The sequence below is a fragment of the Homo sapiens genome, chromosome 3, assembly GCF_000001405.40.
Source record: "Homo sapiens chromosome 3, GRCh38.p14 Primary Assembly".
NCBI lineage: Eukaryota > Metazoa > Chordata > Mammalia > Primates > Hominidae > Homo > Homo sapiens.
This window is the reverse complement of record NC_000003.12, coordinates 13,171,052-13,198,574: the sequence shown is the minus strand read 5'-3', so window position 1 is coordinate 13,198,574 and position 27,523 is coordinate 13,171,052. Positions and strand designations below refer to the sequence as shown.

Genomic DNA, 27,523 nt, shown 5'->3' with positions numbered 1-27,523 from the left:
CCTGTGCCACCCAGAGTGTCATGCACAGGACTCTTGGTGGTGGCAGGACATTCCAGCGGTCATCACCGCCTAGGAGCTGAGCTGCGTGAAATCTGCATCTCACTCTGGGTGGAGCCCCTTCCTGCCCCCCGCCTACCCTGGTTGGTGAGTTCTCAGACTGGATCTCTAGGCGCGGTATGCACTCTTCAGATGAGCCACCCAGAACCTCCAGGGGGACAGCCCACGGCCATCCCAAGCTTCAGAATTACTCTTTAAATATTTTGTGTTTACATGGTTGCAAGGCTTATGCTTTTGGGAGAAAAAAGCCCACAAATGGGCCATAACAAGCAGGAGAAGCAGAAAGTAAATTACCTTTTAATGTCTGGATGAGCTTGTTGACCGTAGGACTAAATTATAGGGGTCCTCTGTGGGGCATGAGCAGAAATTGTTAGAATTAGAGAAAACAGGCCACGTGGCCTGAGCTCAGCACCTCTTCACACAATTCTCCTCCAGGCAAGGGTCATCATCTCTGTCCTTTCAGACCCTGCGTGCCCACAGAGTCTAAGCCCTGCCCCGGGGCCACAGGGCATAGTCCTCTCCACAGAGAGGCCTCGGGAGGCCGGGTGCACGCTGTGCACACACATCCAAGCCGCGGGCACCACGCTCCGCTCCTGCTGGGCAGCCTTGGGCAGGCCACTCAGGCCCTCCAAGACCAGGGTTTTTCTTCCCGCTGGCTGGGGGACTCGCTCCCACCTAGCTCATGTCCAGCCTGTACTAAAGCCTAATTCGGCCTTGACTATCTTCCTTGGCCTCTCTGGACCTCAGTGTGCCCACCTGTGAACGGGGCACACTTCCCTACCAGCTTGCAATGTTGATGCCCCACCCATGCCTGGCCTGTGCACCTCCCTGAACCACTCTGCTGGTCGTAAGGTGGGATGCTGACTAGCGACTACTGCATGCGGCCGTGAAGTTATCAGGGCCTGGGTCTGGACTCTGTCAAGATGCTGCTGAATAGGGCGGGCAGCTTGGTCGTAGGGGCCCTGGTCATTATGCAGCCTGTGGGGGACATTTGAGGCCCCCAGTCCCTGTAGCCTTGTGGAGAGTGGCCTGCCCTGCAGCTGGCCTGGTGATGAGTGTTGGCTGCTGGGACACTTCAGGATGGGGCCGGGCACCAGCACGTCCTGTCTGCCAGGCTGGGAACTCAGTGCCTGTCCAGCTCAGCCCCAGTGGGGCAGGGAGCACCCCACCCTCCAGCGCCCCTGGCCATGCATCTGCCGTTTATGAAGATGCCTCTTTCCCGCTGTTGTGGGCGCTTGGGGGCTGCAAATGTTGATTTTTAAAAAATGTGTGCAGGGAGCAAGCGTTTCCCGTTCAAGTGAAGGAAGACATGGTTCATGTGCATCCCTGACCTTCCGTAGGGGATATCTGTTCAGATGTCTTCAGGCTCCTGGAGAGGCAGACAAAGCTACACAGTCCCAAGAGGAGGTAGCCTTTGATGTCCTTGCTGTCTTGGTCTATGGTCCACAGTGTCCCAGGGCACAGGGGCCTCCAGGTGGAGGCAGTGTCGTGGCAAGGGTCTTAACTGCAGCCCTCCTCAACTCTCCCTACGCATCCTGCCTCAGAGAACACCCTTCCTGCCTCTGAGCTGGGTCTGCTGCCCGGTGACACCCCCACCCGGATCCCACAGACTCTCCTGCTCCCCCTGACTTGGGACAAGCCTGTGTGGCCTGAGAGACAAGGAATAGAGCCCCTGCGGCTGCTTCTTTCTGGACTTCCTGGGATGGGCTCTCCAGCCTGCTCCCCACCACACACACACACACACACACACACACACACACACACACACGCACACACATGTACATACACACGCACGCGCATGCCAGGGATATTCATTATTCATTCACTGAAAGATTTACCTTTCATTTGCAAAGGGAATCAGAAACGTGTGTTCTTCTCATTGGGAAAGAAGCAGGGAGACTTGGCAGGCTGCTCACGCAGCCCTCCCTGTGGCCTGTTCTCCAGGAGATGGGGCTGAGTGACAGCCAGACGTGCAGGGCAAGCAGCCTGGGAAATGCTGCAGTGACAGGAGCCTGTCTCAGAGGCGCTCAGGAAGGAAGCCACATTGAGCCCTCGGTTGAGGAGGAAGGAAATGTGCACCTTGGGGAACAAAGCTTGCCAAACCTTAGTGGTGTAGAACAGCAGGCTTCATGCGTTACCTTTCCTTGTCTCTGAGGTCAGGATGGCTTGCCTCTGCTCCACAACGTCTGCGGCACCAGCTGGAAGAAGACTCAGAGGCTTCAGGTGCCTGGATGGCTGGGCTGGGGTCACCTGAAGGCTCTGTCACTAACGTGTCTCGGTCGATGTTGGCATCCTCTTGGGACCTAGCTGAGACTATGGGCTGGCACCCCCTCCCAGGCTTCCCCACGTAAACTGGGCTTCCTCACAGCATGGTGGCTGGGTTCAAAGCGTGAGTGTCCCCAGAGAAAGAGAGAAAGAGAAGAGGGAGGGGACAAAAGCACCAGATGGGAGCTGTATTGCCTCTTTTGTAAAAAACCGAAACTCTTAGTAATTTTTTAAAAAAGTAACCTTCTATTCAGAGACCATTGTAGATTCACATGTAGTCATAAGAAATAATACAGACAGACCCACGTCCCCTCCACCCAGTTTCCTCCAATGGTAACATTTTACAAAACCACAGTCTAATATGCCAGCTAGAAGTATTATTGATACTGATACCATCCCCCCATCTTATCCACATTGCCCAGTTTTATTTGTACTCATTTGTGGGTATATTTAGGATTATGCAGTTTTGTCGTGCCCACCACCACCGTCAAGATGCAGAACGGTTTCAGGACCACAGGAACCCCTCATGTTGCCCTTTGACAGCCACATCCACTTCCCTGCACAACCCCATTTCTGTAATTTTGTCATTGCAAGAATGTTGTCTCTGTGGAATCATGCAGTGTGTAACCTTTTGAGATTGGCTTTCTTCACTCTGTGTAAATGTCCTTGGCTTCTGTCCAAGCTGTCGTGTGTATCCATAATTCATTCTTTTTGATTGCCGAATAGTGTTCCATGAATTGGATTCGCCACAGTTTGCTTTTTAAGTGCATTTGAGTACAGTTACTGGGTCATATGGTAATTGCATGTTTAGTTTTATAAGAAACTGCCAAACTGTTTGCCACGGAGGCTGTACCATTTTATCTTCCCACCAGCAGTGCCTGAGTGATCTAGTTTCTCTGTATCCTCTCCGGCCTCTGGTGTCACCACTCTTTCTTGTTTCAGTCATCACGGTAGGCATGCAGTGGCATCTCATCTTGCATTTTCTGCGTGTCTTACAAGGCTAACATCATTGAACCGTTTCATCTGCTTATTTGCCATCTGTGTATCTTATAAAGTGTTTGTTTGTGTCTTTTGCCCATTTTCTAACTGGATTGTTTGGTGTTTTACTGTTCAATTTTGAACATTTTTTATATTCTAGATACTACTCGTTTGTCAGATGTGGGATTTGTAACATTCTCCCCAGTCAGTAGCATGCCTTATCGTCCTCTTGACAGTATCTCTCACAGAGCAAACATTTTACAATTTTGCTGAGGTCCAACTTCCTGCTTTTTCTTTGTGTGGATTGTGGGTTTGGGGTCAAGTCTATGAACTCTTTGCCTCAGGCTAGGTCTGGGTTTTTTTCCTATGTATTTTTCTAAAGGTTTTGTGGATTGACATTTTCCATTTAAGCCGATGATCCACTTTGGGTTAGGGTCTGAGGTTGAGGCTGGAGTTTGCTCGTATTGCCTGCGGATGTCTGAGCCTGGAGGTCCCTCGGTGCCGTAATTCCCTGTTTGTTCTGCGGGTCAGGTCTGTTAGGAAGGCCTGCCAGATTCAAAGGAGGAAGCACGGACCTCGCCTCTCAGTCTTTGGAAAATACAGTCTACCTCGAGGGGTCTCCTCTGGGGTTTCTGGGTGGGCACCCTCCAACTCGGATCATAGGTTTGTGGTGGGCCTTACATGTTAACTACATGCTTGTAGAAAGCAGCTCTGAGAAGGGGGGTGGAAAGCGAGTTGGGGCGCCTTGACAGGAAGCAGCTGGCCCTGCGAGGGAAGTTTTAGGAATCACAGAGCGGTGGGCAGTGCCTGGCCTGGCACGCTGGGAGGAGGCACTCCCGGCACCTGAGGGACAGGGGACAGGCGGTGTCCCCAGAGCCCAGTGAGAGTCAGAGCATAGGAGAGGCTGCCTCACACTGGCTTCTGCTGTAGGTCAAGAAACACGGGAATAAACCTGCAGCCCAGCCGGGAGGCAGCTGCGGAGTGAGCACCCCAACCTCCCCTGCCTCTGCTGGCACCCCCCACTGACTCATTCCAACTGCTCCCGGCTGAGTTACACACCCCCAAATTCATAGGCTGAAGCCCTAACCCCCATAACCTTAGAACGGGATGAGGAGACAGGGCCTTTACAGAGGTGATTAAGGGGAAATGAGCTCGTGGTGGTGGCCCTAATCCAATCTGACTGGTGTCCTCTTAGGAAGAGGGGATTAGGTCACAGACACACACAGAGGGAAGACCATGCAGAGACTCAGGAAAGGGGGCTGTCGGCCAGCCAAGGAGGGAGAGAGGCTGCCAGAGAAACCACCCTTGCCAACCAAAGCCTTGCTTTCCGAATTCCAGGCTCCAGAGCTGTGAGGAAACCAAGCTTGGTCTGTGGCCGAAGCCCCAGGGCATGGTCCTTGTCAGCCCGGTTGACTGATGGACACTGGAAGCTGCTGGCCGCTGGTGGAGTCACACAGGCCAGGTCTGGGTGTGAGCAGGTGCAGGCAGGAGGGTGTGGGGCCGGGGGAAGTGGGACAGCGTCCAGCACAGCATGTGTCCAGGGAGAGCCCGTTGGAGGAGGGAGGCTTAAGCTCTGACATCAGCCTTTGGTCTCCAACTGCCTCTTTCCCGCATCTTAAGTGTTCTAGACCCCTAAGCTTGGCACACCCCAAACTGAACTCATGATACTTCTCTCCTCACCCCCTAAACTGCACCTTCTGTTCCCCTCCCTTTCTTCCTGTCACCCTGGCGGCCTGGGCTGGCACTCCTCTTCGTCCCCTCTGTGCCTTGTTCCCAGTCACCACCCGACCGTCCACATCCTTCATCCCCCAGCGTGCTCCCCTTCCTGTGGTCACCACTCTGTAGCCAGAGAGCTCTTTCCAAGCCACCTCTGATCTTTACCTTCCTAGTTTAAAACTCACTGGTGGATTTCAGACCTCCCACCCCCAAATATGTATTCAGAATGTAAAAGACATTGCCACAGGCCGGAAATGGCTCAGAAGCGCAGTCATCAGTGGGGCTGAAGCTGTGGATCTGTTGAACTCCACACTCACAGGCAGAGAGGGAGCTGGTGGGCGACAGGGAGCAGAGATGCCCATGAGAGTCCGGGGAATGGGGCAGGCTCTGTGTGTGAGCCCCGGGCAGGTGGGCATCCTGTGCTCGTAGGACAAGGCTGAGAAAAGACACTGCCCATCCCTGCTGCAACTGGGTTCCTGTCTGGCCACTAGGGGCTGGAGGATGCACTGCATGCAGCTACATGGCCAGGACTGGACCTTCGCCCACTGCCCAGAGATGGCCCCTGTTGCTGTCACTGGGAACAGAGGTCCTGGATGCCAGCGTGAGGCCTCACTCTGGTTCTGCACTCAGGCCTCAGGGGAGGTGTTGCTGCTGGGAGCAGGGGTGAGGCAAATGCTCCCCCTCAAGGTGAATCTGCAAAGCAGAACTCCAGAGCTGACACTGAGCAGGGCCCCAGCAAGCCCTACGTGGGAGAGGAGCCCAGCCAGGTGGACACACAGGGCCTGTGGGAAATGTCTACACAAGAAGTGGAGTTTGGGACTGTGTCGGGGGCCTCCATAACAAAGTGGGTGGCTCCCAGCCACAGAGCTGTGAAACCTCTCACTGCCCCCGCAGGCTGGTGGTCTGAATGCAGGGTGAGTCCTCTTGGGGCCCCGAGGGAGAATACTCACCTGGCCTCTCTCCCAGCCTCTGGGGACGGCAGGTGGTCCTGGCGCTTCCTGCCTATACCTGCTTCCCTCCTGTCTCCACCTCCACCTCCGCAGGGCTGTCTTCCTGCATCTTCACGTCGTCCGTCCCTGCGTGCATCTCTGTCCAAACTTCCCTCGCGTTATAGACAGCAGGCATATTGGACTGGGGGACCCCTACTCCAGTGTGCCACATCTTACCTAAGACATCTGCAATAGCCCTGCTTTCTTTTCTTTTCTTTTTTTTTTTTTTTTTGAGACAGAGTCTCGCTCTGTTGCCCAGGCTGGAGTGCAGTGGTGCGATCTCGACTCACTGCAAGCTCCGCCTCCCGGGGTCACGCCATTTTCCTGCCTCAGCCTCCTGAGTAGCTGGGACTACAGGCGCCCGCCACCATGCCTGGCTAATTTCTTTTTGTATTTTTAGTAGAGACGGGGTTCCACCGTGTTAGCCAGGATGGTCTCGATCTCCTGACCTCGTGATCCGCCCGCCTCGGCCTCCCAAAGTGCTGGGATTACAGGCGTGAGCCACCGTGCCCAGCCAATAGCCCTACTTTCTAATCAGAACATGGCATGAGGTACTGGAGGCTAGAACTTCAACATATTTATTATGAAGAGGGGGACACCATGGAACCCATAACTGAACTCCTTAAGAGGATACAGGGCACAATATTCATCAAATATTCATCTATTTGTCATGAAATGAAAACATCCATGGGACAAGGACAGGGAGGCATGAAGAAGGACCAGTGAGCCAGGCTACAAAGTAAGAACACTGTCATGGAAAGAAGGACTGCAAAACCTCCACAGATGGTCAAGCGAAGGAAATTATCAAAGAGGACATAGTAGCTTTAAAGCTAGTGCTGAGAAATTTACCCCAAAAGACAACCCAGGACATGTCTTTAAAAGTTTCTTTCTTATCTAAGAAATAAGAATAAAAAGATAAAAAACCAGTTTTGGGCCACATGCAAACTGTAATTGCCTGTAATCCCAGCACTTTGAGAGGCAGAGGCAGGTGGATCACTTGAGGCCAGGAGTTCGAGGCCAGCCTCGGCAACATGGCAAAACCCTGTCTCTACTAAAAATACAAAAAAAAAAAAAAAAAAAAAAAAAAAAAAATTAGCTGGGTGTGGGGACTGGGAGCTGCAGGCTGGAAATACACATGTGCTCACGAGTCCTGGTGGAGGCAGTGCCCGAAACACGGCTGTGGTTTTCCCTGGGGTTCACAGAAAACAAAATAAGTGAATACGACGAAGATAGCTATGGCAGCATGAGGAAGATGCCCAGCCTGTGCCCAGCTCTGGAGAGGTCTGGGTTGCAGTCTGTGAGGAATCGGGCGGACAGCCCAGCGAGGATGCAGAAAGATGAGTTTAGTGGTGCCAGGGAGCACCAGGCACAGACTGTCAGGCTTCTGTGTCCAGGCCAACCTGAAGCCCCACGTCTTAGTGTCAAATCGAGGGAGGATCCACGGCTGAATGTAAAACATGGGGTGACAGGCATTCTTCTGTGGCCTGAAGATAGAATTAGGTTATGCTGAACCGGGGTATGTCCTGCCCACAGGACGGCCATGGCAAGGGGTGTGTTGGGGGCAGGAGGAGGGGTGCTGTCGGAGGCATCAGTTTGCTGTCGCCCTCCTGGGCCTGCACTAGGGTACAGTAGAGAAGGGGCTGGAAATGTCTGTGTCAGGGGCCTGGAGTCAGGGATTTAGTGAGGCAGAGGGGTAGGGAGAGAGCCCTCCTCCCATTTGGGGACTGCTCTGGGACTTTTCTCCTTTCAGTGTATTTACCTGTACTCTCCTTTAACTTACGGCTTACTCTCAAGCAACTTACAGTGTTTATGTATGTAGACAATTTAGAAAAGAATGGCTTATTTTTGCTGTAGTCCATGAAAAGCCTGTATTCTCTGGCTACTAAAACAACAATGGCATGAATGATCAGACAGTGTCATTCCATCCTTCGTAGACACTGCCATGGCTGGTAGGAGGAAGAGTAGTTTGTGTTACAGGGAGGTCAAGGCCACACTTTATCTGTTTTTTTTTTTTGAGACAGGGTCTTGCTCTGTCACCCAGGCTGGAGTACAGTGGCACAATCACAACTCACTGCAGCCTTGACCTCCTGGGCTCAGGAGATTCTCCCATCTCAGCTTCCCGAGTAGCTGGGACCATGCCTGGCTAATTTTTTTTATTTTATTTTGTATAGAGATGAGGTTTTGCTCTCAACCCAGTCTCGAACCCCTGGGATCAGGAGATCCTCCCACCTTGGCCTCCCAAAGTGTTGGGATTTCGGGCGTGAGCCAGGAGCCGGGCCCCACTCGCACTCATGGAGCATCCGCCGCCTAAGAGGGTCTGGACCAGAACTGGAAGTGGAAATGGCTTTTCCCCTCAGTGCCTTGGGGTTCCTTCCTGCAGGCTGTGGTCTGGGGTTGGGGGGAGGGTTCTTGGACCCAGACAGGCTGTTCAGGCAGGAAGATAAGAACCTTGGACACTGGAGTCCAGTTTGCACTGAGGTGAGAGTCTGGGAAACTGCTGGAACTCTATTTAGGCAGCTGTGGCAGGTACCAGACCCAGGTGGTCAGGGCGGTGGGGCCATGAGCTGCTTGGGCAGCTTCAGAGCTGGCTCTCCAGGCATGACGGCTCTGGGAGGGTCAGGGAGGAAGGAACTGACATGAAAGGATTGCATGTCAGCAACAGGATGAGGGCCCCAGCAACTGGCCTAGATGAGTCACAGATGAGCAGAGATCAGCTGGGGTGTGGGGACAGCTCACATGGGTCTCAGGGAAGGCCCACTGAGGTGGTGGCCTTTGAGCTGAGACCTGGGGGAACAGGAGGACCTGGGGGAAGAGCCTTGCAGGCAGAGGGAACAGCAGGGTAGAGTGGCGAGGCAGGAAGCTCAGGGGTGGAGCTGGTGCTGGGCAAGCCTCGTGATCAGGGCTGGGGGCACTGGGCCAGCTGCACATGCCAGTAAGAAGGGAATGCAGTTCAGTTTTCCTCTGAGACTTATGTTCTGCTGTCACTTGTAGTGGGTGCAGGGGAGAAGCTTGTGGGGTTGCCTCTGGGGAAGTCTTTGGAGGACTTGTTCTGGCAAAGGAGAAGAATGGAATGAGAGATGTAGTCAGGAGGAGGGTCCTGGCAGGCAGGTGTGGAGGGTCAAGGCCTCAGAACCCTGCTGCCCAGGGCATCTGGGGAGGAGGGCAGGTGTTGGCTTATTAGCTTGGAGCAGGACCTCAACCGTCAGCTGGGGATGAATGGGGATTGGGGTTCACCCCAGGGCTGGGTCAGCATTCCCTGGGCTGGTAACCAGTTCCCAAACCAGGGCTATGCTGTAGGGCTGCAGAAGAAACTGGGTCAGAGGTCCTTAGCCCAGAGGGAGCCAATGTCATGGGCACAGGAAGGATGCTGGCAGTGTGGGGAGCCTGTGGCTGCAAAGTTCCTTCCTGGCAGTGTGGGGTCACAGAGCACAGCTCTCCCAACCTACCTGTTGATAGGAGGGGCTGCTCATCTCTTCTGGCCCTGCCCTGAGAAGCCTGGGCTGACAGGTGGAAAGATTTGGGACACAGGTGAGAGAGACTGGGCAGAGGCCAAGATTCAAAGTCTAAACTCCTCCTGAGGGGGTGCTGCCAGGTGTGGGTCCCAGGCTTGAAGTGAGTGGAAACAATCCCAACAAAAATGGACTTAAGGGCCCACTCAAATCCTGGTGAAGGAATTTGGGGCCCATGAAAACAAACAATCCAGGTCAACCTTCAGGCATGGCTGGATCCAAGGGCTGCAACCCTGGCTCTGTCTCTTTCCCTCTCTCAGCTCTGCTTCCCTCTAGTTGGCTTTTTCCTGTGGAGCCTCTTGGCTTGCAGTGGTCTGACAGCTCCAGGCCTGCGGTGAAAGAGGACTTCTAGCTCGGTAGGTTGAGCTCAAGTCTGGAGACTGACTCTCACTTGTGTGGCTTTGCCTTTTGCCCACATGGTAGTTTAGAGCATGAACTTTGGAGCCAGTGAGCATGGTTCAAAGCTGGGTTTGCCTCGTAAGAGCTGTGTGACTTTGGATAAGTCACCTAACCTTTCTGGGCCTTGGTTTCCCCATCTGTAAAATGAGGATTATAGTAGCACATCTATATTGTTGGGCTTTGTTGTAAGGGTTAAAAGAGTTAATGAGTGAAAAGTTCATACAACAGTGCCTGGCACATATCTGATGTTGACTATGACTCTTACCGTGATCCTCCCTGCAGTGGTCACAGTGGCTTGGAGTGCAGGGCTCTGATAGCTGGTCTGGGATCACATGCTGTCTTGGAGTGGAGGAGGGTGCTGTGCTCCATGTGAACCTTGAGGTGGGCATGAGCAGGAGGTGGTTCCTGGAGGAAAATGGTCAGGAGACAGTTCTCAGAAGACAGAGAATAGGAATGGGGTAGGATAAGCCCACAGATGCCCACAACAGGGCATGAAAGGAGGGACAACTAGAAGCAGTCTCAGTTTCAGGTCCTACCAGAGGTCTAAAGGCAGATGCACAGGCCAGGCGTGGCTGGCAACTTCTGAGGCAAACAGAATGGCTGGAGATGGGAGGCCCAGGCAGGTCAGTGGTCTGAATGTCTGTGTCCCCCAGAATCCATGTGTCAAAATCCTCACCCCCAAGGTGATGATATCAGGAAATGGGGCCTCTGGGGGGTGATCAGGTCTTGGGTGGAGACCACCTCAGTAGGATTAGTGTCCTTATAAAAGAGGTTACACAGAGGCCTCCTGTCCTTTCTGCCATGGGAGGTTAGAGTGAGCAGGTGGCTCTCCATAAGGAGGTGGGTCCTCAGCAGACACCGAGCCTGCGGCACCTTGATCTTGGACTTCCCAGCCCCCAGAACTGTGAAAAATCAGTTTCTGTTGTTTATAAGCTACCCAGTCCCTGGTATTTTTATAGCAGCATGAATGGACTAAGATAGTCAGGACCCAGAAGAGAAGTTTATTATTTAGTGTATAAATGTTTATTGAGCACCTACTGTGTGCTGGCCAGCACCCTAGGTCCTGGGATACAGCAGTGAACTAGACAGGAGCAGTCACTGCTTTCATGGAAACCCCATACCAGTGGGAGAGAGGGACAATAAACAAGTTAAATAAAATATATGTAAATATATTCAGATTAATTCAAAAATTTGTATTCCATGATAGGCTTCATATTAAAGTCATATTCAAAACACATTCAAAACAAGTTAAGCAAACTCATTCATCAGAATTAGGGCTGTGCTGAGGGCTTTTGCTGGGCTAGGTCCTGGGAGTGCCAACCCCTCCTTTGTGGCCCTGCTGCCTCCTCTGCTTCCATCTGTATCATGGCATCAGCCGTGCTGTGGGAAAGGTGATCTGTGTACAAGACTGTCTATCCAGCTAGACTGCAAGCTCCTTGAGGGGCTTGGTGCATCTCCATTTAGTATAGTGCCTAACCCATAGTAGATACTCAGTAGGGGTTTGTGAGGTAGGACGATGAATGGTTGGACAGGTGTGTGGGTGGATGGGTGGATACATGCATAGTGGGCAGAAGGATGGATGGGCAGAAAGTAAGAGGGATAGAAAGGAGGAAGGAAGGAGAGGAAGGAAGGGGGAAGGACTGAAAGTACGAAGAAGGAAGAAAAGGCGGCAGGAAGGAAGGAGGGAGGGAAGGAAGTAAGGAGCGGGCCATGGAAGAGAGGAAGGGCAGACAGTGTGCTCTTTCCTCATCCGAAGGCTTCAGGGCCTTTAGATTCTACTCCTGGGCTGTGGGATGCCTCCTCTGGGGTTTCTGGGCAGGATCCAGGTAAGACCATTCCAGCTGAGCCTGAGTCCCTGACGGAGCCTGGGTCTGCCAAAGGGTCGCCGTCCAGTGCAGGGAGCCCCAGCCCCTGTGCCTCAGGGAGGAAACCGCATTCCACCATGTTCACGTGTCTGGCCATCCCCTCCTCCTTGGGACCACCCAAGGACTCACCCTGAACTAGCTCTGCCCCGTCTGTGCATCCAGATCTCCAGATGGGCCTCTGCATAGGAACATGCCTGTGGCTTTCAGGCAGCTGTAGGCGGTCCTCACAGACTGGCAGGCGGCACCAACCCAAGCTAAGGATTCTTTTTTTAAAGTAACTGCAAGGTAGGCAAATCTTTAAAATACCAGAGAGTCCAATTCCCCAGCTTTTCCCACTCCCAGCCGACTTCTTTCCAGGTGTGGGGTATTTTAAGCAGTCATAAACACCCTTTTTGTCAGACTTTTCATCTCTGGTAATGATCATGTTTATACAAATTCTGTCACTGTTTCCTCCTTGATCACAATTCATGGTCTAAGAGAAGATCTCTTCCCAGTGCAAGCTTCAGAATATTTACAGAGCTTCCACCCAGAGGCAGGCCCAGTGCTGGACCCAATAGCAAATGAGACAGGCCCATCCCTGCCCTCAGGGAGCAGACGTTCCAGTGGGGTGGCTGAGGATCCTCAATTACCTATGTTGGGTAATAGATATAGACAGCAGCTTTAATGATTGCCCCTGCTCCATGTGGGACGAGAACAGCAGTGAACTCACTCCCACTGGTGCTAAGCAGACTTGCTGACCACCTCCCTTAAATCCTGCTGAGTGTGTCCAACTCAGCTAAGGATGGTTACAAGCCAAGTGAGTCATGGCGTCAAAGCCCACTGCTCATTGTCTTCTCTGAAGGGCATTTGCTATGGGACCCGCCCACCTTGGGCAGGTGCCCTGCAGCAGTTCTGCCCTGGACAGGAATGAAGAGAAATATGCCCAGAAAAGTGGGCCAGCCAGTGGCATCCAGGATGGATCACACCGAAGTTCTGCAGACACTGGCTCCTCGGAGAATGGATCTCCTGGTGTGTCAAAAGTGCTTTCCAGCGATTAGGATGCAGTGTAAAAAGCATTTGGATCTAATGCCATCTCTGCTATCCTGTGACCTTAGACAACCCCCTTCCTCTGTGAACCTCGGGTTCCCCATAGTCCTTCTAGCTACAGCAACGTTCCAGCCTTTATCTTTGGGTTTGTCTCTCCTGGAATGGGCTGTCTGCCATAGTTAATGATGCCTGTGTTTGTGGAAGTAATCAAGCTGCTGTTTTGGCCATTGTCACGCTTTATGCCTTCACACTGAAATATCTGCTGAGGTGCTCCCATATAGCAGGCGCAGTCCCAGGCACAGGACCCTGTGGAGAACAAGCTGACGTCCAAGGGAGCAAGGCACAGAATAAACAAGTAGACAAAGGAACAAGACAGCTTCGGAGAGCATTAGGTACAGAAGGGGCAATAGGACAGGTGTGACCAGGGAGGGCAGGGGAGGTTGCAAAGACTTCTCAGAGGAGGCAGCCTCTGAGTGGAGACCTGACGGAATAGTGGGTGCTGGCCTTCTAAACAGCCTGGGGAAGAACGAGGTGACAACTCCCATTGACAGATGAGGTGTCTTAGGTCAAGCCACTTGCGTAAGGTCAGGCCGCAGGTCACAGCAGGACCAGGATTTGTTCCTAGTTTCCCTGCCCAAAAGCCACTCACAGAACCTTTACAACTGCCCCAGTCTGCGTGGGTGGGAGTGGGAAACCCTCAGATCCCCCGAATCTGAAACCCCTGGCATCTGTGGTCTCCGACTCTTGCTCTCTGGTTTTCCCTGCTTGTCTGTTTGTCTGTGTGGAGGTAGGAACTGCTTTAGACCCATGGCCCTACTCGGGAACTGGAGCTTTACCAAGGAAGGTCCATCTATCTGCCTCACTCCTTTTCCCCATCCTGTCCCCTGACGCCCCACACCCAGACACTCCCGAACTAGCGTCTGTGTTTATCGCTCCCTTGCTTTTTCACTTCAATTCCCAACTGGCCATGGCTGGCAGATAGAAAACGATGGAATTGTGTTCACTCAGCTTGCATCCTGTGACCTCGCTAAGCACACTTAACAGTTCCAGCAGCTTTTCTGGAGATCCTTAGGGATGTTTACTGAGAGAATCCTGTCGCTTGTGCATGGAGACAGTTCTGGTTCTTCTTTTCCAATCTGTATGGCTTTTATTCCTTGGCCTTGCTCTAGTACACTTGTTAGGACCTGTGGGGTGACGTTAGATAGGGGTGGGAAAATGCAGGTCCTGGCCCGGTTCTCGATCTTAGGGGAAAACACCCATTCTTTCTCCATAAAGGTAGCTGGAAGTCTGTGCAGATCCCTTTATCAGGCTGAGGACATTTCCTTCTATTCCTGATGGGCAGAGAATTCTCATCATGAATCAGTGTTGAATACTGTCAAGGCTTTTTCTGCATCTGTTGACATGATCATGTAATTTTTCTTCTTTAGTTTGTGGATATGGTCAATTACATTTGTTAATTTTCCAATGCTGACCAGCTTCATTGTGGGATTTTATTTGCTAGCATTTTGTTGAGGATTTTTGCATCCATGTTCAGAGGGATACTGCTCAGGAGTTCTCTTTCTTGCTATGTCTTTGTCTAGTTTGGGTATCAGGGTAATGTTGACATCATAACATTAGTTGGGAAGTGACTCCTCCCTTCATATTCTGGAAAAGTTTGTGTAGAATTGGTGTTATCTCTTCTTCACTTGTTTGAATTCACTAGTGAAGCCATTTCATAAGCATGGAGTTGTCTTTATCAGAATATTTGTTTGATTCAACTACAAATTCTATTTCTTGAATAGATATAGGACTATTATTTTAATCTATTTCTTTTTGAGTGAACTTTGACAGTTTGTATCTTTTGAGGAATTGGCTCAAGTCATCTCAGTGTTCAAACTGATGGACCTAGAGTTGTCCTTGCTCTTTCCTTATTTGTCGGCTATGTTTTTCTCTTCTTTTATTGATCAGTCTGTGTAGAGCATGGGTCAGCAAACTATAGCCTGCAGGTAAAACCAAGCAAGGGTCCAGTTTTCAAGTGTTTAACAACCAACCAAACAAACAAACAAAACACAAGAATTGCATTAAATATTAAAATATTTACTTTCTAGCTCTTTACAGAAAAAGTTTGCTGTCCCTTGGTCTAGAGGGTACTCAATTTTACTGACTTCTTCCAATTTAGCCTAATTGATTTTTCATATGGTTTTTCATTTTTCTTTTTTTTTGTTTGAGATGGAATCTTGCTATGTTGCCCAGGCTGGAGTGCAGTGGTATGATCTTGGCTCACTGCAACCTCTGCCTCCCGGGTTCAAGCAATTCTCCTGCCTCAGCCTCCCAAGTAGCTGGGACCACAGGCCTGCACCACCATGCCCAGCTAATTTTTGTATTTTTAATGGAGATAGGGTTTCACCATTTTGCCAGGCTGGTCTCAAACTCTTGGCCTGAGGGCTCCCAAAGTGCTGGGATTACCAGCATGAGAAACTCATTATATGGATTTCTTCTCTTATTTTTATGATTTACTCCTTTCTACTTGCTTTGGATTTAATTTGCTTTTCTTTTTCTAATTTCTTTTTTATTTATTTATGTTTGTTTGTTTGTTTGTTTGTTTGTTTGTTTGTTTATTTATTGGTGGGGACAGAGTCTTGCTCTGTCACCCAGGCTGGAGTGTGGTGGTGTGATCTCAGCTCACTGCAGCCTCTGCCTCCCAGGTTCAAGTGATTCTCCTGCCTCAGCCTCCCGAGTAGCTGGGACTACAGGTGCATGCCACCATGCCTGGCTAATTTTTTGTATTTTTAGTAGAGACAGGGTTTCACTGTGTTAGCCAGGATGGTCTCAATTTCCTGACCTCGTGATCCACCTGCCTTGGCCTCCCAAACTGCTGGGATTACAGGCGTGAGCCACTGCGACCGGCCTACTTTTTCTAATTTCTTTGGGTGGAATCTTTATTTGAGATCTTATTTTCTCATAAAATCATTTAATGCTATAAATATTTCTTTCAGGTACTGCTTTAGCTGCAGCTCACATATTTTGATATGTTATATTTTCATTTAATTCAAAATATTTTTGAATTTCCCTTGCGATTTCCTCTTTGACCTGGGGAGATTTAGAAGTGATTATCTAATTTCTAGTTCTCTTAAATTTATTAAGGTTTGTTTTTTGTCCCAGAATGTGGTCTTGGTTGGTGAATATTCCACCTAGGTTTCCATTCACCCACCCATCTCTCTAGCCATCTATCCACTCATTATCCACCACTTATCTTTATATGCATCCACTCATCTATCCATTGCCACCCGTTTATCCACTGGTATAATCCATATAGCCATCATCTATCGATGTAGCAATCCTTTTACCCATTAGAACAGTGCCTGACACACAATATTTTTACCATGAATATTATTATTATCCTTGGACAAGTCATTGTGGCTCGTGAGTATGGGGCTGTGATTGCCCAGAATGGATTAATTACATGTCCACCCATTGAACAGAGAAGTAGGCTCAATCCCAGATGATGCTCACAGATGGGAGCATCAGACTGATGGTTTGCCAAAAGCAAATTGTCAGATATAGATACCAGAAAATGGGGAATGGATGCTGGGCAAACAAAGCCAATACATGCCCATGATGGCATGGAAGGAGGGAGAACTAGAGGGGATTCCAATGTAAGTCCTACAAAATCTCTGAAAGGTAGCTCTGCAGACCATGAGTGGTTGATAAGTTCCAAGGCAACAAGAATGGCTGAAAATGATAGGCAAAGTCATGGGACTTAGAGAGAAATACATTCACTAAACATATAAATGTTTATTGAGCACCTACTGCTTACTGGCCATCACTGTAGGTCCTGGGGCACAGCAGTGAACTAGACAGGAGCAGTCACTGCTCTTGGGGAAGTCACATTCTGGTGGTGGAAATGGACAATGAACAAGTTAAATAAAATATGTTTAAACATATTCAAAAATAATTTTAAAATATTCCATTATAGATTTCATTTTAAAGTCACTCAAAACATATCCAAAAGAAAAAACAAATTCATTCATCAGATATATGCTGAGGGCTTTTGCTGGGCTAGGTGCTGGGTATTTGGGTTTCCTCCTCCTTTGTGGCCCTGCTGTTCTCTCTGCCTCCATCTGTGTCATGGCACCAGCCATGCTGTAGGAGAAATGATCTGTCTACAAGTCTGTCTACCTGGCTAGACTGTAAACTCACTGATGGGCTTGAAACATCTCTGCTTAGTATAGTGCCTGGCCTGTAATAGATGCCCAGTAGTTTGTGGGATGTATGGATGCATGCATCAGTGGGTGGGTGGGTGTATATTCTGGTGTCATGTGGAGTATTCTGTATATGTCTGTAGGTCATGTTGGTTGGCAGTGTTGTTTAGGTATTTTATATTTTTGCTGATTTTCTCTCTATTCCATCAATTACTGAGAAGGAATTATTGAAGTCGCCATACTTGTAGATTTATTTCTTCTTTCAGTCCTAGTTTTTGCTTCATATATTTTGTTTGTTTGTTTGTTTGTTTGTTTGTTTGAGACGGAGTCTCGCTCTGTCGCCCAGTCTGGAGTGCAGTGGCGTGATCTTGGCTCACTGCAAGCTCCACCTCCCGAGTTTGCGCCATTCTCCTGCCTCAGCCTCCTGAGTCGCTGGGACTACAGGCGCCCGCCACCACGCCCGGCTAATTTTTTGTATTTTTAGTAGAGACGGGGTTTCACCGCGTTAGCCACGATGGTCTGAATCTCCTGACCTCATGATCCGCCCGCCTCAGCCTCCCAAAGTGTTAGGATTACAGGCATGAGCCACCGCGCCCAGCCTGCTTCATATATTTTTGTGTCCGGAATTGGTGGGTTCTTGGTCTCACTGACTTCAAGAATGAAGCCGCGGACCCTCGTGGTGAGTGTTACAGGTCTTAAAGGTGGCATGTCCGGAGTTTGTTCCTTCTGATGTTCGAATGTGTTCGGAGTTTCTTCCTTCTGGTGGGTTCGTGGTCTCGCTGGCTCAGGAGTGAAGCTTCAGACCTTTGCGATGAGTGTTACAGCTCTTAAGGCGGCACGTCTGGAGTTGTTCGTTCCTCCCGGTGGGCTCGTGAGCTCGCTGGCTTCAGGAGTGAAGCTGCAGACCTTCGCAGTGAGTGTTACAGCTCATAAAGGCAGTGTGGACCCAAAGAGTGAGCAGCAGCAAGATTTATTGCAAAGAGCGAAAGAACAAAGCTTCCACAGTGTGGAAGGGGACCCCAGCGGGTTGCCACTGCTGGCTCGGGCAGCCTGCTTTTATTCTCTTATCTGGCCCCACCCACATCCTGTTGATTGGTCTGTTTTACAGAGAGCCGAGTGGACTGTTTTGACAGGGCGCTGATTGGTGTATTTATAATCCGTGAGCTAGACATAAAGGTTCTCCACGTCCCCACTAGATTAGCTAGATACAGAGTGTGGACACAAAGGTTCTCCAAGTCCCCACCAGAGTAGCTAGATACAGAGTGTCCATTGGTGCATTCACAAACCCTGAGCTAGACACAGGGTGCTGATTGGTGTGTTTACAAACCTTGAGCTAGATACAGAGTGCCAATTGGTGTATTTACAATCCCTTAGCTAGACATAAAGGTTCTCCAAGTCCCCACCAGACTCAGGAGCCCAGCAGGCTTCACCCAGTGGATCCGCACTGGGGCGGCAGGTGGAGCTGCCTGCCAGTCCCGCACCATGCACCTGCACTCCTCAGCCCTTGGGTGGTGGATGGGACTGGGCGCCGTGGAGCAGGGTGCGGTGCTCGTCGGGGAGGCTCAGGCCTCACAGGAGCCCACGGAGAGGGGGTGGGGGAGGCTCAGGCATGGTGGGCTGCAGGTCCTGAGCCCTGCCCCACGGGAAGGCAGCTAAGGCCCAGCGAGAAATTGAGCACAGCAGCTGCTGGCCCAGGTGCTAAACCCCTCACTGCCCGGGGCTGGCGGGGCCAGCCAGCCGTTCTGAGTGCAGGGCCCGCCGAGCCCATGCCCACCCGGAACTCGCGCTGGCCCGCAAGCACCGTGCATAGCCCCGGTTCCCGCCCGCACCTCTCCCTCCACACCTCCCTGCAAGCTGAGGGAGCCGGCTCCGGCCTTGGCCAGCCCAGAAAGGGGCTCCCACAGTGCCGTGGCAGGCTGAAGGGCTCCTCAAGTGCCACCAAAGTGGGAGCCCAGGCAGAGGAGGCGCCGAGAGCGAGCGAGGGCTGTGAGGACTGCCAGCACGCTGTCACCTCTCATTTTGAAGCTCTGTTAAGTGCACACACATTTAGGATTGTTGTGTCTCCTTGGAGAATTGGCCCCTTTATCACTGTGTGATGTCTATGGGTGATGATATTTCCACGAGGTATAGGCTTGTGGGTTGACAGTTTTCATTCCATGGTCATTCCATTGTCTTTTGGATTGCATAATTTTTATGAGTAATCTGCTGTAATTCTCATCTTTTGTTTTTCTATAGTTAATGTCTCTTTTTATTCTGGCTGCCTTGAATGTTTTGTTTGGTTTTGTCTTCCAGCAGGTTGAATGTGGTATGCCAGGGCTTCTGCTGTTTTTGTTTTGTATTTGTTACTGAAACACCAGGGGTTTGGTCTAGGTCCTGCTGCTCACCTCACAGAGAGCCAACAACTGAGACTATTGAGTATTGCAAAGGAAGAAGGCTTTAATCAGGCTCTGCAGCCAAGGAGATGGGAGCTCAGTTTCAAATCCATCTCCCTAACTGACTAAAACTAGGGGTTTATGTAGCAGGGAGGAAATGTAACAATATATAAGAAACAGGAACTAGGGAGGGGCAAGGAAGCCATCATGATGAATAAGGGGTCCTGCATCTCACTGTCTGGATGTGGTGATCTGGTGAATTTCAGTTCTTTGATACTTTTTTGGGATGACCGAAGGTGTTTCCTGAGGAAGGAATTCAGATAAAACAAATGTAAGGTTCAAGCTTTAAGACCAGAGGGTCAGTTTCTATGTTTATAAAAAAGAACAGTCTATGGGACTGTTGGATTGGTTTCATATTTAATCTGCTTGATGTCTTATGCCTTCTTGGATTTGTAGTTTGGGAATGTCATTAATTTTAGCAGATTCTCAGCCGTTACTTTTTCCAGTATTTGGAGTAGGTTAGTGCTCATGTTTGCTTTCTTTTCAGAGGCCTTCCTTAGATTTTGAGTGCATAGGTTGCCTGCCACCTGAGATCTCTGATGAGAACAGAGCCCCAGGGGGCTTACTGCTCTCTGCCATGTGAGGGGACAAGGGGAAGCTGAGAAGGGTGCAACCCAGAAGAGGGCCCTTGTAAGGGCACCTGATCTCAGACTTCCAGCCCCTGCAGCTAGGAGCAAAATAACTTTCTGTGGTTCATAAGCCACCTAGTCTATGGTGCTTTGTAACAGCAGCCTGAAGGCACTAAGGCACTGGGCTGAGAGCCCCATCCTCACTCTTGACCACACCCCTGACCTGGCTTCTAGCACTTCCCAGTGTCTGAAATTGCCTCTTTATTTGCTCATTTGCTGATTGACTTTGACCCCAAAAGATCAGCTCCGTCACAGCAGGCTCTTGTGTCTATCTGGCCACCAGTGAATCTCCAGCACTTGGCACAGCAGTGGGCACAGTAGTTGCTGAAATATTTGTTGAAAGGAAGAAGGAATGAATGCAGGACAGAGACTGCCCGGGACTCGGGTAGTCTGGGAGTCTCATCATTCTCTGGTATTTGGTGTGTTTCCTCACGACTTGTGACCCATGGAGAACAAATGCAAGAGAACAGGTATCTCAGTGTGTTCAGGGTGTTTTGGCAGCATGGCTGTTGCCAGTGTGGCTGAGCCTAGCTGTTCAGGGATGTTGCTGTGGCTTTCTCCCCACCCAGCCCCAGGCCTAGGGGATGCAGGGGGCTTCTTTTCTTATGGGAGTTCCATCTGTACCCTCTAGTGTCAGCTGTTGGTATCCTCCAAGAGTGGCTGTGTAGCCCCTGCAGGCCCCTGCCTTCCCAGGCTGAGAGGTCCAGTGGCTGGCTCTGCATCGACCCTGGGACTTGCAGCATGGCCATTTGTGAGGTTGTGCATGTGGACAGCAGAGGGACCAACAGCAGGACAGGCAGTGTGGGTGGCCGTGAACAGCAACAACTGTTCTGTTAGCAGAAGGCCCGGCGGGGGACCCACATCAGCACAGCAGTGGAGTTCCCCTCTCACCTCCCCCAGGGGCCACACAAAAAGATCCAGGATTGAGACCCAGACACCTCTGTCCACAGGGATGGGGAATGGGGGGTGAAGCCCCATGTGGCTGCCTGCTGTGGCCCTGCTGGCTGGCTCAGGCTGGTGTCCCGGGGTAAATCATCACAAAGGAGATGAGGTTCACAGGAGTGCCCACTGTGGGAATTATTCCTGCCCTGCTCTGTGCTGCGCCTGGCCTGTCCCTTTTCTGGGCAGTTGTGCACTCTCAGGGGAAGCCATTGCTTTTCTCTCTACCCAGCATGGGGATGGGGTGGGGGTGGCAGGGCAGGAATTCTTGCTGTAGGCCCAGCTCCTGGGGTCCCAGCTCTGAGCAGGGCCTCCTATTAGAGCTCCTTCCTTGTCAGGGACCACTGGTCCATTTTGTTGTTTTAAGAGCTTTGTTGAGATGTAATTCACAAACTGTCACTTGGCCCTTTTAAAGTGTGTAATCCAGTGGTTGCTAGGGTATCCGCAGACTTGTACACCCCTCGCCATTGTCTAATTCCAGAACATTCGCATCAGCCCAAAAACCAACTCTCCACATATTAGCAGTCACTCCTGTTCCCTCTCCCCAGCCCCTGACATCCACTAATCCACTGCCTGTCTCTATAGTTTCACCTGTTTGGGACATTTCATGTCAATGGAATCAATGCAGTATGTACCTGTTGTACCTGGCTTCTTTATCCAGATGTGATGTTTGTATGTATCAGTACTTCATTCCTTTTTATGAGTGAACAGTATTCCATTGTATAGATACAACAGATTTCCCTATCTGTACCGAGCTGATGGTTTTTTGGTTCTTCCTCGCTATTTTCTTAGTTTTGTGGCAGCTCACTGACGCATTTAAAAGCTGGCCTAAATGCACGGACCTCGCCTGTTCCCGGCAGGCAGGTGCCCTGGGTTTCCGGTCGTCCCTTGCCAGCTCTGTGCTTTGGTGTGGTGTCCACATGCATCTGGGTGCTTCAAGATGCCGGCTGGTCTCTCAAAGCCTGGGGTCATGGTGCCCTGCTGAGAGGGCTGCACCCTGGGACCTGGGGCTTGTTTTGAGCTTGCTTCAGGAGGGGGAACTGATGATCTGTGTTTAGAATGTGTTCCCGACTGCTTTACTGGTTGGTGAGAGAGAGACCATGGTTTTCTGTGCTGTCACAAAATGGGGTGGAGCAGAGGCTCCCAAGGGTCAGGCTAGGGGTAAGGGTGGAAGAAGGTGTCTCTCATGGGGTCTGGAGAGTCAAAGAGGGGAGGACTCTAGTAGCAGTTTTCTGCTATATTACTAAAGACCCCCGAACCGTCTGGCTTCAAACCTTAATGAACACTTGTTATCCTCCAGTTCTGACGTTGTTCTGGCTGAGTCTCTCCTGAGGTTGAGGCAAGTTCAGGGTGGGGGCTATAGTCATCTGAAGACTTGACTGGAGTCGGGGGATCTGCTTCTGACCTGTCTCAGCCACATGGCTTTTGGCAGGAGGCCTCAGTTCCTCCTGAGTTGCTCCAGGAGAGCAACGTGGAGCTCTCCATAGGTTGCTTGAGTGTCCCCAGAGCGAGCAATCACAGAGAGCAAGACAGAATGGCAATGTCTATCATGACCCAACCACAGAAATCGCCCATTGTCACGTCTGCCCCCTTCTGCTCATCAGAAGTGTCTGGGTGCTTGTGTGCCCCCAGCATTCGTAAATTGCAAGCTAATTACCCAGGTGATGGTGGTAGGAAGTTTGGGGAGGTACTTAGGTCACAGGGGCAGAGCCCTTGGGACTGGGATTTGTGTCCTTATAAAGGACCCGAGAGGTGAGCCAGCCTCCTGTTTGGAGAGCCAGCTGCCTCTTCCACCATATGAGGACAGCACCAAAGTGCCATCTGTGAACCGGACAAGTGGCCCTCGCCAGATCCCGAATCTAGGGGAGCCTTCATCTTGGACTACCCAGCCTCTCAAACGTCGAGGAATAAATTTATCCTGTTTATAAGCCAGCCAGCGTATGGCATTTTTGTTATAGCAACCCAGATGGATTGAGACAAGAAGCAAATCATTAAGTCCAGCCCATATTCACAAAGGGAATCCAGTCCCACTGGTTGAAAGGAGGAGTGTGGCAGGCTTTGGGGATGTGCTTTAGAGCCATTGAGGGACTCAGCGTGCTTCCGGGCGATCCTGTGTTCTTCAACTGTAGGATGCCCTTTCTTGCCCTCAGTCACACAGAGCAGGGGGAGGTGAACTACAGCCGGCCTCCTGACTGCAGCCCAGGAAACTTGGGCCCATAGCAGGGAATGATGTCACTCATCATAGCTAATTGGGCATTTGCTTTGTTCCAGGCAGGTATAGTCCCTTAATCTCCATAACCACCTAGAGTGGAGGTGCATTTTACAAATGAGGAAACATGGGCCCAGAGAGGTGAAGTAACCTCTCTAGAGTCACACAGCTGGTACTCGGCACACAGCTGGTACCTTGCCATCACGGGAAGCTCCTGGAAGCTCAGCAGTGGTTGGAGTAGCTGTCACGTGCAGACAGAGACTTCCAGGGATCCATCTGGTGAGAGAGGGAAGGGTAGTCCACCCTGGTGGGTCTGGGTATGTGTGAGGCAGGTGGTCAGGGATGACCTTGCTGAGAAGGTGACATATGAGCCAAGATCTGAGGGAAGGGACGATGCTGTGTGCCTGGGGCAGCGCATGCCAGGAGGAGGGACCAGCAGGAGCCAGGGCCCTGCGGCAGGAGTGGCCTTGTGTGTGAGAAACACCGGGAGGACTGGTGGCTGGAGTGGGGGCGAGAGAGACAGTGGTGGGAGGAGGTGGGGGGGGGGAGCAGAAAGACCACCAGTGGGCTCCAGCCCAGGTGATGCTGGCTTGACGTGCCAGCGAGGGCAGCTCTGAGGGGGCTGTGAGCTTGTCCATCTCCTGAAAATCTGGCTGTGTGTGCAGGGCAGACATGGGGGTGACATGGAGCTGGGGACCCACGAGGACACACCTGCTACTGTTAGAGGGAGTGCTGCTGGTGGCCTGGCCCAGGCAGGGCAGGAGAGGGTTGGGAAAGGGCTGATTCTGGAAGGGGTGCCTCAGGCCTTCTGGGGGCTGACAGCAGGGTGTGGAAGATACAGAGCGACATGACAGCCCAGTGTTTTGCCTGAGCGCTGGGACGGGTGGAGGAGCCCCCGCTGAGATGGGGAGGCCATGGGGGTCAGCTGGGCCAGGCTGAGTGCAAAATGCCTGCTCAGTGTCCTAAAGGTGAGCTCAGGAGGCAGGTGGCTGTATAGTCTCCAGTGGGATGAAGGCTTCCAGCTGGCCACGTGAGTTTGGTCTGCAGCCAATGTGGACTCCCGGGGCAGTGCAGCCTCTTGCTGACCCAGAGGACAAAGCCTTTCCGGGGTCATCAGGCATGGGCACCTGCACCGCAGTGGCTGCGCTCCCAGTATTATCTGGTTGCCACACAGCCCCCAGTCCCCTCACCTGCTTCTTACTTCTGTGTGCACAAGATTCAGATTCCAGGGTCTGAGGCTGGGCGCCACCTGCCCCAGGAGCACCCAGAGCCTGCTGTGGGGAAGCGGGTAGGAACCCGGGCCTCTGGCTCAGTGAGTGTAGTTAGACTCTGTACAGCAGGATGGTTCGAGCCCTTGTGTCTTGGCCGCCTCTCCTAGGACCCATAGACTCCATAGCGAGGAATCCTGAGACACCATCTGCAGCAGGAGTTTGCACTCTAGCTTGCCTTAGAAGCCCCCAGAATCTCCCTGTTCACACAGAGGCCAGGCTCACTCCGAGTTCCTGATTCAGGAGATCTGAGTAGAGCCAGAGAATTTGCATTTCTAACAGGTTCCTAGGTGATGCTGATGCTGTGGGTGCCCAGGCCACACTTTCAGAGAACCACTACTCTGGACCCACCCCATGTGTGACAAATGGGGAAACTGAGGCTTGGAGAGAGATGGCCTGTCCAAGGCCCAGACCTACCTACTTTTGTTGCCAGCAGCACTTAACATGAAGATCTTCAGGGGGTTGGGGTCCTCATGCAGGGGCCTGACAAATGGAACCTTCATGTTGACAAGCCCTCTGGGATTGTCCACAGAGCCCACAGGGTTTGTCCAAGGGCCTCTACAGTCTGGAGGCAGGGCTTGGAAGCCCACTGCTTCAGGGTCCATGCCTTCCTCCAGGAGCAGGAGGCCTTGGGAGGCCAGCCAAGTCTGCTCTGGGCCGGTCCCCAAAGCCTGACCAGACAGGGCTGGTGCAGGGAGCAAGGCCCCCGGGGGAGCCCGGGCTGCAGGTGCTGAGGTCCTATTTAGTTCTCTGTCCAGCTGGGTCTCTGGGGACAGGTGGGTGAGGGTCCGAGGCCAGTGGGAGGGGACACGAGACTCAGAGCCGGGAGCAGCATCCCTCCTAACATTCCCATGGCCTGGCACATTAAACATTCCCAGCCATGTGGCCATCCCAGGACAGGATGTGGTTTTGTGTCAAGGTGACTGCTTGATCCAGAACTGAAATGCAAGGTGAATCCTAAAGTCCTTGGAGGTTTCTCAGATTTTATCAACACAAAATGATTCCTTCCAGACTTTTCCCAGGGGAGAAAACCCGAAAACTCAAAACGTCAGCTGGTTTGGTGAAAAGTGGCCTTTCAAGGAAATCTTTTGATGTTTTTTTCCTTTCTCCTGAAATGATGAGGCATGAGAGGGTTTCTCACAGGGTGATCTTTGCCCACAGTGCAGGGGATAGAACACAGCCTGGAGTGAGAGAGAACCACCCTGCGAGATGGGCAGTTACCACTCCCAGGGCACAGGGGGGAACACTGAGGCCCAGATGTGAAGGGGCCTCCCCAGAGGCACGTGGCTGGGAGGCGGCAGAGCTCACCGTACTGGCCGATGGTACCAGCCTGGGTAGACCCCCGGGTGTGGAGTCCTGCTGCCATCCCTCACCAGCACTGTGACCTCAGGCAGGTCACTGCCCTCATCTGCACCCAGGGGACAATGGCAATGTCCAATTCGAAGGGAACCCTTTGAGGAAGGAATGCAGTGATTGATACCAAGAAGTCAGGACATGCCAGGCACTCCATCTGCCCTCGGGAAGTGTTGGTCATGACCCCTGTTATTCTCCTTCCCGTTCTGTTTGACTTTTCACACCACTCCTAGATGGCAAAAGCAGTCTTTCAGGAACGTTATTTTTATCACAGCTCTCCTCTGCTCAAGATCCTGCTGTGGCTCACTATTGTCTGGATGAACCAGCTTCAGTCTTTCTGGGCCTGTCCTGTTTAAGGAAGGCCGACGTGCCTCCTAGTCATCCATGACTTTGCTATTCTCACCTCTTTGCTTCATTCAACACCTGTTTGTGAAAAACAGACCTCCTCTGTGCCAGGCCCCGCTCCCACACCCCTGGCCATGGTTCCATCTACTCCCCAGCCGCAAACCTCCCCCAACCATGGCAGGATGGAGGCCTTAGAGCCTTGCTGTGCCCGGAGGACTTGGCTGGGGAAGGAGGGAAGAAGAAAGTGTCACGAATGTTTATCCCTCAAATGCTATTTGGACAGGAAAGCTAAGTCCTGCCCGTAGACACGGCTTCTGCAGGGTACATTCTGGCTATGGGCTCGTGTGGATGTGTGGCCTCTCCCACCTGCTCCTGTGGGGCCTGCTTAGACTCACCGCTCTGCACTGAGCTTAGCCCAGGCTCCTGGGGGAGTGTGGATGTGTTTTGTGCTCTTGTCCAGGTGCCGGTTGCCCCTCAGCTCGCCTCCCAGAAGCCTCTCGGATTGCCACCCCTGACCCTTTGGCCCGGGACGCTTGCCCCTTACCTCTAACCAGTCGGGGAGCCTCTCACACACCAAGCCCTGGGCAGGAAGCTCTCTGCTGAAGTCAGACCAGGCTGGGACCCCTGAGCTCTGGCCCCAGGGAGAGGGAGGAGGATTTGGTTTTATTTTAAGGTAAAGAAGGCCTTGAAAGAGGCATTTAAGCATTATAGGGAATGGGTCTCTATAGATGTTGTTTGCATAACAAGTGTCTAAATCATCAGGAATAGGGAAGAAATTGCAAATGAGCACTAGCGCAGACACTCTGGAAGCTGAGGTCTTCGGGTACCTATTTTGAATTTATAACAACATCCCTGAGTTTGAGGTTCTCAAATGGAGGGGAGAAGGGAGTGGGAAATGGCCTGGGGGTGTAGAAGTGGTTGGGGCTGATCAGGTCTGTGGGGTCTAACTGTTACAATCACTTAGTTTTAGGTGGATCCTTTAGAGAAAGAACTCAGAATTACATGCACATTCTGAGAAAGAGCAGGTACAAATGGTTTAAGCCTCTGTAGCCTCCCAGGAAATCTGCCTCTGGAGGTGAGTCAATTACAGCGTTTAGGAAGAAAACCTTTTCTCCTGTGTCCACCTGCTTTGACAGTCTGTGTGCCCTTGAGTGGACCACCTCATCTGTCTAAGCCTCAGTTTCCCTGTATCACGTGAGATGGTGCATTTGAGGCCCTGTACATGCATAATGAAAGGATAGCAGTGACACTGCGGATTTCCTCAGGGAGAAATGAAGGGCACAAGGCTTTCTTTTTTTGTTTTTTTTGTTTTTTTTGAGATGGAGTCTTGCTGTGTTGCCAGGCTGGAGTGCATTGGCGCAGT

The 27,523-nt window shown here is 51.5% G+C and overlaps 1 protein-coding gene across 6 annotated transcripts in view, besides 6 other annotated features; it reads left to right on the top strand.

The window, feature by feature from the left end:
- Positions 1-27,523, top strand: part of IQSEC1 (IQ motif and Sec7 domain ArfGEF 1) — a 386,215-nt gene that overhangs the window by 84,683 nt on the left and 274,009 nt on the right. The gene's annotated exons all lie outside the window — the stretch shown is intronic.
- Positions 174-794: an enhancer, noted in NCBI's record as "H3K4me1 hESC enhancer chr3:13239281-13239901 (GRCh37/hg19 assembly coordinates)". NCBI's record gives its function as "activates a minimal SCP1, AML or CMV promoter by ChIP-STARR-seq in naive H9 embryonic stem cells {active_cell/tissue: H9 hESC(naive)}" and the evidence as "EXISTENCE:reporter gene assay evidence [ECO:0000049][PMID:30033119]".
- Positions 4,307-4,913: an enhancer, noted in NCBI's record as "H3K27ac-H3K4me1 hESC enhancer chr3:13235162-13235768 (GRCh37/hg19 assembly coordinates)". NCBI's record gives its function as "activates a minimal SCP1, AML or CMV promoter by ChIP-STARR-seq in primed H9 embryonic stem cells {active_cell/tissue: H9 hESC(primed)}" and the evidence as "EXISTENCE:reporter gene assay evidence [ECO:0000049][PMID:30033119]".
- Positions 4,914-5,520: an enhancer, noted in NCBI's record as "H3K27ac-H3K4me1 hESC enhancer chr3:13234555-13235161 (GRCh37/hg19 assembly coordinates)". NCBI's record gives its function as "activates a minimal SCP1, AML or CMV promoter by ChIP-STARR-seq in primed H9 embryonic stem cells {active_cell/tissue: H9 hESC(primed)}" and the evidence as "EXISTENCE:reporter gene assay evidence [ECO:0000049][PMID:30033119]".
- Positions 23,755-24,255: an enhancer, noted in NCBI's record as "H3K4me1 hESC enhancer chr3:13215820-13216320 (GRCh37/hg19 assembly coordinates)". NCBI's record gives its function as "activates a minimal SCP1, AML or CMV promoter by ChIP-STARR-seq in naive H9 embryonic stem cells {active_cell/tissue: H9 hESC(naive)}" and the evidence as "EXISTENCE:reporter gene assay evidence [ECO:0000049][PMID:30033119]".
- Positions 26,081-26,604: an enhancer, noted in NCBI's record as "H3K4me1 hESC enhancer chr3:13213471-13213994 (GRCh37/hg19 assembly coordinates)". NCBI's record gives its function as "activates a minimal SCP1, AML or CMV promoter by ChIP-STARR-seq in naive and primed H9 embryonic stem cells {active_cell/tissue: H9 hESC(naive and primed)}" and the evidence as "EXISTENCE:reporter gene assay evidence [ECO:0000049][PMID:30033119]".
- Positions 26,605-27,129: an enhancer, noted in NCBI's record as "H3K4me1 hESC enhancer chr3:13212946-13213470 (GRCh37/hg19 assembly coordinates)". NCBI's record gives its function as "activates a minimal SCP1, AML or CMV promoter by ChIP-STARR-seq in naive and primed H9 embryonic stem cells {active_cell/tissue: H9 hESC(naive and primed)}" and the evidence as "EXISTENCE:reporter gene assay evidence [ECO:0000049][PMID:30033119]".